This window comes from Homo sapiens, chromosome 17 (assembly GCF_000001405.40).
Source record: "Homo sapiens chromosome 17, GRCh38.p14 Primary Assembly".
NCBI lineage: Eukaryota > Metazoa > Chordata > Mammalia > Primates > Hominidae > Homo > Homo sapiens.
In genome coordinates, this window is record NC_000017.11 from 34993067 (window position 1) to 35003524 (window position 10458).

Here is a 10458-nt window from a genome sequence, read left to right on the forward strand (position 1 = left end):
ATTCTGTGACCTACTGCAAAGTAGATCTGAGAGTTGGTAGCAGAGCCAGGCTTCCTGTGACAGGGTGACTTGGGAAGAGGGAGGACACATAAGGAATGAAGGCTGACTCTGACAGACATCATCTTAGGCCTCTGCTCATTTCGTAAGAAATGGGGTTTCCTTTCCAGTGTTGGTTTTCCTGTGTGACAGGGCCCACCACATATGGTGCCATGCCTACTGTGAGATTCTTTGGATTTTTGAGTGATGTACAGTGCTTTTTTTGAAACTGTCTTGTTTGTCATACTAAAACCTTGGTTTAGGGTTTTATGTTTGAGATAGGCAAGTGTTCTCTCCCTGCTAGGAATGTGGGATAGCCAGCATCAAAACAGTGAGATCTCCATCCCAGAGATGGGACTGCGGCCACCTGCAGTAGTGGCCTTTCTGACTTTTATAAAAATGCCTCCTGGAGTCTGTTCTATAGTTTGTCATTTAAAGACTGGCATGGGTTATATAGCTTAGTGGTTAACCACACAGGTTTTATAGGTGGGCCTAGATTCAAATCTCATTCTTGCCATTTTTTAGTGTAACTTAAGCAAGCACCTATTCTCTCTAACCTTCAGTTTTATCATCCAAAAATGAAAACAATATTTGTCACATAGGATGTCACATCGGGGATGAAATGAGATTATGTATGTGAAGCGCTCCCAAAATGGTAGCTATTGTTGTTTGAGTTAGGCTAGCACAGGTAGGCATGTAAGTAGGTGCTCCAATATCTGGAAACCCTGTTTGTTGTAGGGACCCACGATCACTCACCCTGCCAGCCTCACTGTCACCTGCACTCTTTAACCTTAGCTTCACATACCTCTTTTACTGGGAGAACTGATGTGTTTTATAATAAGCCAGAGGTCTTGCAAGGCCTGAATTATTGAGAAAAGAATTAAATCTTGTTTCACTGGGCTTTTACTTGTTGTACAATGAATAGCATTCATATTCCTCAAAAGGCAAGCTCCTATGTCAGCTCAGGTGATTATTTCATAGGCAGAATACAACATTGCCCAGCCCTTTCCGTTCCCATCACCTCTTCACCAGCCTTCCCTGAGCGTTAATTGTGGGCAGTCAGTCCCAAGACCCAGGTAACTACCCTCACTAACCCAGTTGCAAGGTCTCTGGCTGTCGCTGCTTAGCAGCCCCTCATTGAAAGTCTCCAGGCTTTGCTTTCCCCACCCCAAGGCGGAGGCCTGCAAGTCCGTTGAGTATGCAATGAAGAAATGTCCCAATGGCATGTTCTCTGAGATCAAGTACGATGGAGAGCGAGTCCAGGTGCATAAGAATGGAGACCACTTCAGCTACTTCAGCCGCAGTCTCAAGCCCGTCCTTCCTCACAAGGTATGAGTGCCTTCCTTTCTGCCAGGACCGTCTTTCCCCTTTCTGCCTCTAACAACCTCAGGGCCAGAGTCCCATAGCCATTCCAGCTGTGGTACACAATAAGGGTTTGTTTTTTATTTGTTGAATGAATTAATTCATTTATTCATTTTTGGAGTCTTCCCATAATGAAGGGCTGCTCAGCAGGGAGAGCCAAAGAGCCCTGACTTGGGTTCGTGAGGATAGAGCTCCCTGGAACAGTGATACTTCTTTTGCCCACAGTGATATTGGGACAGTGAGCTCAGTTGGTGAGTTGCTGTGTGTCTTTTGTGTTTCCATGTCCCAGATGCTTCCTGTGAGCTAGACTAAGGCTTATATACCAGGGGCTATTGGGCTGTCATTCATTAATTTGTTCAACAATTATTTATCAGATGCTTACCCATTGTTACAGCTGGTGGGGATATAGCAGTGGAAAAAATGGACAAAAGTTCTGGCCACCATGAAGTTTACATTCTGATGTAAACACAGTCTTATGGGGACATCTAGGAGCCTAGATTCCTGTTCTAATCAGGGGTGGCATTTGGAACCTTATTCCTTAGCCCTTCTCCACTCCCAAGGATACTGTGAGCCTTTGGGAGTGTCTTCAGGGAAAAGCAGCTGGAACATCTGGCTCCGGTAGCTTGTGAGCAGATGGAATTCCTATCTTTGCTATCCTTTTCTTTCCTAACTCAGACTCAGTTTTTCAGAGCCTCAGGGGGTTCAGGGGAACATGTTGTGTGGCCTGTGCTTACCTCAGCCTTGCCTTCCTGCTGGAGCATTGGGAACAAAGCAGTCAGGCCATTTGTTTCATATGTTCAAGAGGAAGGCTAAGCAGTGGCCTCATTGTGGAGCTTTAATGCAGGTTCACGTGTTCTGTGAAGCACTGCAAATCACTCAGGAGCTGTTTCTGGTGAGGTTGGTGTTAAATAGACACCATCTGTGACCCAGGAAGAAGTCTGAGCACACTTTTCCAGATTTAGTCCTTTCCTTAATTTTCCCTTACCCAGTATTCACTCATCCTTTGCCTCTCCTGTGATTTGGGTTCTTAAAGGGCTAGGTTAGGGATTGAAGGGGAATGGCATGGATGTGCTGGCCTTTCCTGTTCCTGCTCTAAGCATCCTGGGTAGTGATGGCTGTGGGTTCAGGGCTCCCACTCAGAGAAGACACTGCTCAAGTTTCCTTGCTGCACCTGAGGGAGTTCATTTCTACCTTTCTGGTTTCAAGTAGTCTGTTCTCCCCTAATCCAGTCCCCAGCCTGATAGTCACACATCTTCTGCAGTAGGCACTAATCTCTGCCCACCTACCCTCCTCCTCCTCCCCCGACAGGTTTAATCTGTTTCTTCCATTTTCCTCAAAAATTGTACCTTCTCTACAGCCCATAGAAAGTGACCCAGCATGGGTTGACCTCTTCCTGGGCCCGGACAGAAGTACTGAAACAGATGGCCTCTCCCTCTTGTCCAGGTGGCTCGCAAGGCCTAGCTATATGTTTTGCACATTAGCTGGGCCTTCCACATGTTGTTCTATATCCTGTCTGGGCCCGGGCTTTGCCCTCCATGGCATGGTTTGAGGTCCCTGCTGCCATGTCATCCCTCACCAAAGCTCCCCTTCTGCTTTCAGGTGGCCCACTTTAAGGACTACATTCCCCAGGCTTTTCCTGGGGGCCACAGCATGATCTTGGATTCTGAAGTGCTTCTGATTGACAACAAGACAGGCAAACCACTGCCCTTTGGGACTCTGGGAGTACACAAGGTACTAGCTCAGGGCCATATGTGCAAGAATGAATGAGTGTGAGTGAGTATGTACATGTGGGTGCACGCTGCGGTCTGAAAAGGGAGGAAATATCCCTTAGTGTGGCCCTTATTCTTCGCTTCTGACCTGTTTCTGGTTTGGATTTTTGTCTTTTGTTTTTCTCCTAAAAAGGGGCTGGTATTGGGAACCAGTTTATAACTGGGTTGGTTTCCATTTAGCACTATCTGCTCAGTGCCCTTATGGCCCAGGGGCTTCAGAGCAGAAATAGTACTTTTTCATCCGGTGCCTCAGGGGGCCTCCAGAAGTGGACTGGTACTCCTTATTTTTTCACACTGACTTTTGTCCTATGTGTACCTACTACCTCATTTTCCCTTACAGAAAGCAGCCTTCCAGGATGCTAATGTCTGCCTGTTTGTTTTTGATTGTATCTACTTTAATGATGTCAGCTTGATGGACAGGTGAGTTGGCTAGCATCTTTAAACCCAGAAACTGCCAGGAATCTGTTTTCATTTCCTGGGTGAGGAAGATGGGGGCTTCAGGTTGGAAAGGAGGGTACAGGGAACCAGCTGGCACATACGTTTGTGCTCAGGAGCTTGCCAAAGGCAATGGCAAGAGGGAGCTGAGAGGAAGCACAATTGCTACATGATCAGTTCCCCATTCAGTGTAAGAAAGAGCCCATGTGTTGACTCCATCTCTTCTCTGAGAGCTTAAGTCACAGAAGAAACCCAAACCCCCAAAGAAGTTTCTCTACTAAAGCAAAATGGACTATTGCAGAGAAATAGACTGTGAGCATATGGGGTTTCAGTTTATTTCTCCAATGGCACCCCTAGGGGCTCCAGTGGCACCCCTGGGGGCATAAGGCAGATGGTTTTCAGCTCAGAGGTTTTGATTTCAGAAGAGACTGACAACAGGAAGCTCCGGATTATAGGGGAGGCCATGGGTGGGACCATCTTGGAGAGAATTAGCAGTCTTGACTTAGCTGCATCCATATGCTTGTGCCTGAGAAACCAGTATCAGCCCTTTCCTCACTTAGAAATGTATCTCTACCCCTGTTCCTCCTGCAACAGCCACATCCTTGATTGGGGAAGGAGAAGGAAGTAGAGAGGGAAGGAATTGGTGGGGGTAGGATTTGGGGTTTGGGTCCCAAGGCCTGTCTCAGCCTGCCTACCCCGGGGTTGGCCTTGGGATCGGGGCAAAGCAGGGTGCAGGGGATAAAAAATGAGAGTTGGAGTCGTATTTCAAGTGGGACCAGAATTTATACAATCTGGGCTACAGGCCAGTTCTCCCTTGGCTCGCTTGATGAAGTAGAACTAGGAACTACAACTATGAACTGGCTCTATGCCACAGCTCACAATTTTCCATCTTCGGTCACGATGGAGCCCTTGTAGCCCTTGACAGCAGAACTGTTACACATGAGGTCTTTGATCCATGGCAAACCCTTTCTTGAAGTAGCAGTTTTATCATTGTGGCCCTTCCTTCCTCAGAATTCCTAATAAGGGAGGGAGGATCCCGGCCTAACCTCAGCTCTCCTGTTCTCCTCAGACCTCTGTGTGAGCGGCGGAAGTTTCTTCATGACAACATGGTTGAAATTCCAAACCGGATCATGTTCTCAGAAATGAAGCGAGTCACAGTAAGTGAAGACCCTATGCTAGGCAGTGTCCTAGAAGTTTGAAAGCAGGGCAGAGAACTCCTTGGGTCAACTGCGACTGGAAGAATAAATCTTAATGTCTTATGGAGCCTCCTGATAATGTTGGCCTTTGACTATTGCATATGTTGCCTGCTAGTCTTCACCCAGAAGGGTAGGGCATGGAAATCCTTCCTAGGTAAGCCTCCTGTGTTTCAAAGCCACAGCAGCCCTCTGTTTGGGATGAGAAGCAACCTGCTTTCTAACCCTTTGTCCCTTATATTTCAAGTAAGGGTGTTTCCAGTGGACACTTAACTAGTGTGTGAAAAGGAACAACCCCCACTCACTCACCACCTTCTCCACTCTCACACCAACTTCAGCATCTCTCTTGTCCCTCAGAAAGCTTTGGACTTGGCTGACATGATAACCCGGGTGATCCAGGAGGGATTGGAGGGGCTGGTGCTGAAGGATGTGAAGGTAAAGTGGCCTCGCTTGGCTTCTCCTGTCGACTCACTCGCAGCCCTCTCCCCTGAGCCTTTCCAGCCCTGACCAGGAGATGGCGGTGGCAGCCTGCAGTGGTTGGGGTGGCTGCTGGGGAAGTGTGGGCAGATGTGTCCTGGATCTGGAGGACTGCTTTGTGTGTCTCCTATAGTGCCTGGAGCCTGAGGGCTCTTACCCTGAGGGAGGGGCACTGGGCTAGATCTGGTGTGTAGCAGTGAAGGGGTGAACCCATCCTCATGGAGTTGCCTTTCTATTCTGTGGTCTCTCTTTTGCTTCCCTTCAGGGTACATATGAGCCTGGGAAGCGGCACTGGCTGAAAGTGAAGAAAGACTATTTGAACGAGGGGGCCATGGCCGACACAGCTGACCTGGTGGTCCTTGGAGCCTTCTATGGGCAAGGGAGCAAAGGTCAGGGTGGCCTCTGCCCCCTGGGGTGGTACTGTTTTAGAAGGTACCGCTTGAGGTACAGGCTGGCCTTGTTACTGGCTTGATCTGCCAGCATGGCCAGTTATGACTTCCGAAGTCCTAGGATCTAGGGCCCCAAGCTGGCCTGAGTCACCTCAGGCAGAGCTGCTTACTCGGTTAGGGAGAAGTCAGAATAGAGTACCCTATGCTAGCCTAGCAGAAGGACGCTTACCACCAATTATTTCGTCAGGGCCTGACAGCTTTCTCCTCAGGCAAAATCTCTTTCCTGACTGGAAAGGAAGCTGGAGTCTGAGGAACTAATACTTTTAAGCAATCTATCATGTGTCCAACACAGTTCAATGCCCCAGAGCCCAACAGGTTGGGTGTGATTATCCCTCATTTACAGAAGAGGAAATTGGGGCTTATAAAGGTTAAAATTACACAGTTAGTAAGAGGTAGCTCCAAGAGGTAAACTCTGGCACTCTGACGGCCAGGACCCAAGGTCCTCTCCCTGGCCCTGGGCTCTTGGGACTGGCAGAGATGGCTCCTCCAACCCACACTCATCTCACACTCCCCTCCCAGGCGGCATGATGTCAATCTTCCTCATGGGCTGCTACGACCCTGGCAGCCAGAAGTGGTGCACAGTCACCAAGTGTGCAGGAGGCCATGATGATGCCACGCTTGCCCGCCTGCAGAATGAACTAGACATGGTGAAGATCAGCAAGGTGAGGAAGGGACCTGGTTGGCCATGGCCTCTGGACTGGCCGCCATCACTGAGACAGAGGCTGTGCTTTGGGGACTACAGGTATTTCTGTCTCCCCAGAAAGAAGGGTTGCAGCTTGCTCAGGGGAGCAGGATTAGGCCTTATAATCTCTGAATGCCTTCTTGTGGAAAATGGCTTGCATGCCTCTAGGTCATACCCACTCTGGGCTGGGAGGATCACATGGCTCAAACATCAGCTGTTTAAGTGGCTTCTTATAATCTCATTACCAAGAGAAGGGATTTAAGCCTTGTTCCAGGTTGGGAACAGCCCAAAGTAGCATCTTTTCTCCTCTAGGACCCCAGCAAAATACCCAGCTGGTTGAAGGTCAACAAGATCTACTATCCTGACTTCATCGTCCCAGACCCAAAGGTATCAACCCAGTGGCTTGGGGGCCTCCAGCTCATAGAATTAGCTTGCAGGTTCTCTAGTGCCATAGAGAATCCATCTCACCTCGCTGAAAGTCCACCCAGGGATAGGGGTCTGGATTTCCAGCTGAGTGATAGGCACAGGGACAACCAGACAACTCTGAGGAATTTTGAATAGAATTCTTTCTGCAATACAATTGCTTTAAAAAAAGAGAGAGAAGAAGAGAGTACCTATCCCCTCAGCACAAAGGGTGTGTTCTAGAAGTAATCTGGCCCAATCCCTTCTTGTACCGACCAAGAAAGAGATCTAGAGAACAAACAGGACTTCCCTAAGGTTATTCAGCAACAGCAGCAGCAGAACTAGGACCCAAGTTTCCCAGCTGTTAGCCAAAGCTTTTTTGGTTTTTGTTTTGTTTTGTTTTTGAGACGGAGTTTCACTCTTGTTGCCCAGGCTGGAGTGCAATAGCGGGATCTCAGCTCACCACAACCTCCGCCTCCCGGGTTCAAGTGATTCTCCTGCTTCAGCCTCCCAGGTAGCTGGGATTACAGGCATGTGCCACCGTGGCCAGCTAATTTTGTATTTTTAGTAGAGATGTGGTTTCTCCATGTTGGTCAGGCTGGTCTTGAACTCTTGACCTCAGGTGACCTGCCCGCCTCAGTCTCCCAGGGTGCTGGGATTACAGGCGTGAGCCACTGCACCCAGCCGCCTTTTTGGTTTTAATTGTTCTGTATTGCTTCTAGCTGGTTGGGAGATACTTTTTTTTTTTTTTTTTTTTTTTTTGAGACAGGGTCTCACTCTGTTGTCCAGGCTGGAGTGCAGTGGCATGATCTCATCTCACTGCAGCCTCCGCCTCCTGGGTTCAAGCAGTTCTCTCACCTCAGTCTCCCAAGTAGCTGGGATTACAGGGGTGCCACCACCCCCAGCTAATTTTTGCATTTTTAGTAGAGATAGGGTTTTACCATGTTGGCCAGGCTGGTCTCAAACTCCTGACCTCAGGTGATCCACCTGCCTTGGCCTCCCAAAGTGCTGGGATTACAGATGCAAGCCACCGCGCCTGGCCAATACTTGCTTCTCCCTTTTTTTGAGACAGTCTCGTTCTGGAGAGCAGTGGCATGATCTCAGCTCACTGCAACCTCTGCCTCCTGGGTTCAAGCGATTCTCATACCTCAGCCTTCTGAGTAGCTGGGACTACAGGCGTGCACCACCGTGCCTGGCTAATTTTTGTTATTTTTTGTAGAGACGGGGTTGCGTCATGTTGGCCAGGCTGGTCTCAAACTCCTGACCTCAAGTAATCTGCCCACCTCAGCCTTCCTAAGTGCTGGGATTACAGGCTTGAGCCACCACGCCCGGCCACTGATACTATCTTCTTAACCAGTGATGACCTGCTGGCTTACTCCTGACAGAAAGCTGCCGTGTGGGAGATCACAGGGGCTGAATTCTCCAAATCGGAGGCTCATACAGCTGACGGGATCTCCATCCGATTCCCTCGCTGCACCCGAATCCGAGATGATAAGGACTGGAAATCTGCCACTAACCTTCCCCAACTCAAGGTAGCAGCTCTTAGGCTGTATATGTATTCTCCACCCCACTGTCCAGGCCTTGGAGCCTTGGGCATCTAGACCATTCACATGTCCTCTGTCTTCTCCTTTCCCCCATTCTCCTGAGGCAGAGCAAGGAGGGCAATTAGAGAGGGAGACAAACTGCTGCTGGGCCAGGGGCACAGCACTAGACCTCCTTCTCCCTCCATCTCTGAGTAGAGAACCTTGCATTTGCAAGGCCCCACTGAGCAGCCTTTAGTCTGGGGAATAAGAGTTTGCTCCTGTTGCCCCAGCAAAGCCTGCTTTGCTGTACAGAGAACAATGATTTGTACCCTGATTACTCAGGCTATAGGGCCATACTTTGGAATGGTGCCAAGGGAGCCAACTCCTTTTCCTTGCTCTTTATCTTTCTCACATCTTTGTTCCCATATGCGCCTAAAATACACCACACACACCACCTCTGAGGCCAGACTGGGAAGGCAATGAAACCCTCTGACATTGTCCCTCCCCGCCTCAGGAACTGTACCAGTTGTCCAAGGAGAAGGCAGACTTCACTGTAGTGGCTGGAGATGAGGGGAGCTCCACTACAGGGGGTAGCAGTGAAGAGAATAAGGGTCCCTCAGGGTCTGCTGTGTCCCGCAAGGCCCCCAGCAAGCCCTCAGCCAGTACCAAGAAAGCAGAAGGGAAGCTGAGTAACTCCAACAGCAAAGATGGTAAGGATAGGGAGGGGGCTGGTATGGTGAAGAGGGCGGTGTGAGGGGCAGAGATCCAAGGGCAGGGACCCAGTCTCACATTCCAGCCCTGAGATCTCATGATTATCTGTGTCCACTGCAGTGGACACAGACTACATTCCTGGTGTGTGTCCAGCCATGGGCCAGAGACCCTTCTGCTGGGCACCCTGTATCTGCTCAGCAAACCTGAATGGAGCAGTACCCTGGGGACAGCCAGTCTGACCAGGGAATAAGCTACCTTTGAGTAAAGGGCTTAGCTGATAACTCTTCACTCCCCTCTCACCTATGCTCATAGCAGAGAAAGCCCCTGGTCCTTCCCATTACTGCCCCTGACTTCAGGGAGCATTATCAGCAATCCCTACCCTCTTAGTTCTTTTGTATCATATGTTTTTTAGAGACAGGGTCTCACTCTGTCATCCAGGCTGGAGTGCAGTGGCACGACCATAGCTCACTGCAGCCTCGAACTCCTGAGTTGAATTGATCCTCCCGAGTAGCTGGGACTATAGGTGTGCACCACCACACCCAGCTTCCTCTCTGTCCTGCAGGCAACATGCAGACTGCAAAGCCTTCCGCTATGAAGGTGGGGGAGAAGCTGGCCACAAAGTCTTCTCCAGTGAAAGTAGGGGAGAAGCGGAAAGCTGCTGATGAGACGCTGTGCCAAACAAAGGTGAGGGTAAAAACAGCAACACACCACGTGGGCCAGTTTAGCCCAGGTTGTGTTCCCAACCTTCTGTACAAGAAGTTTGAAAGAGGATGAGCAAAGGTGTTTGGGGAACATCGGCTAAACCTCTTCCCTGCCTGCAGCCACTCCTCTGTCGTGGGCAGGGTCAGCAATGCTGCTGCTCACCCTATGTCCTCTTGTTGCCTTGCAGAGGCGGCCAGCCAGTGAGCAGAGAGGAAGAACTGTGCCAGCAGGCAGGAGATAGAACAGCCCGGCCTAGCCAGGAGAGACTGCAGGGACTCACTCAGCTGCTGGCCCCAAGTCAAAATTTACATTAAAGGGAAAAGACCAGTCTGGGTGTGGGAATGCAGCATTGAGTTTGTGGTCAGGGTGGAAGCAGGTCCAGCAAGCAGCGAGTCGGGGAGAGGGCACTGGCTTGGTGACTCTCCTCCCACCTGAGGAGCCTTTTCCCTGTTACATTTTCTTGTCAGTCTTGGGTTTGGCAACATCTCCTGAGCAATTCTTTTTTTTTTTGAGATAAGTCTCGCTCTGTTGCCTAGGCTGGAGTGAAGTGGTGCAATCACAGCGCACTGCAACCTCCGCTCACTGCAACCTCCGCCTCCCAGGTTCAAGCGATTCTCCGGCTTCAGCCTCCCGAGTAGCTGGGAGTATAGGCATGTGCCACCATGCCCGGCTAATTTTTGTATTTTTAGTAGAGACGGGATTTCACCATGTTGGTCA

At 49.8% G+C, this 10458-nt stretch overlaps 1 protein-coding gene across 10 annotated transcripts in view; it reads left to right on the forward strand.

The window, feature by feature from the left end:
- The window catches only part of LIG3 (DNA ligase 3), a 30361-nt gene that overhangs the window by 12555 nt on the left and 7348 nt on the right, over positions 1–10458 (forward strand). For 8 of the 10 annotated variants that reach the window (XM_047435969.1, XM_047435968.1, XM_047435971.1 and 5 more), the window contains 11 exons: positions 1210–1365; positions 2998–3129; positions 3508–3587; positions 4672–4759; positions 5153–5230; positions 5538–5661; positions 6241–6383; positions 6716–6790; positions 8191–8337; positions 8843–9038; positions 9602–9723. In XM_047435969.1, coding sequence (XP_047291925.1) covers positions 1210–1365; positions 2998–3129; positions 3508–3587; positions 4672–4759; positions 5153–5230; positions 5538–5661; positions 6241–6383; positions 6716–6790; positions 8191–8337; positions 8843–9038; positions 9602–9723 — 1341 coding nt within the window. Of the gene's footprint in view, positions 1–1209; positions 1366–2997; positions 3130–3507; positions 3588–4671; positions 4760–5152; positions 5231–5537; positions 5662–6240; positions 6384–6715; positions 6791–8190; positions 8338–8842; positions 9039–9601; positions 9724–9928; positions 10088–10458 lie in introns of those variants that run through there. The other 2 variants (NM_002311.5, XM_006721896.4) reach the window with 1 other exon arrangement.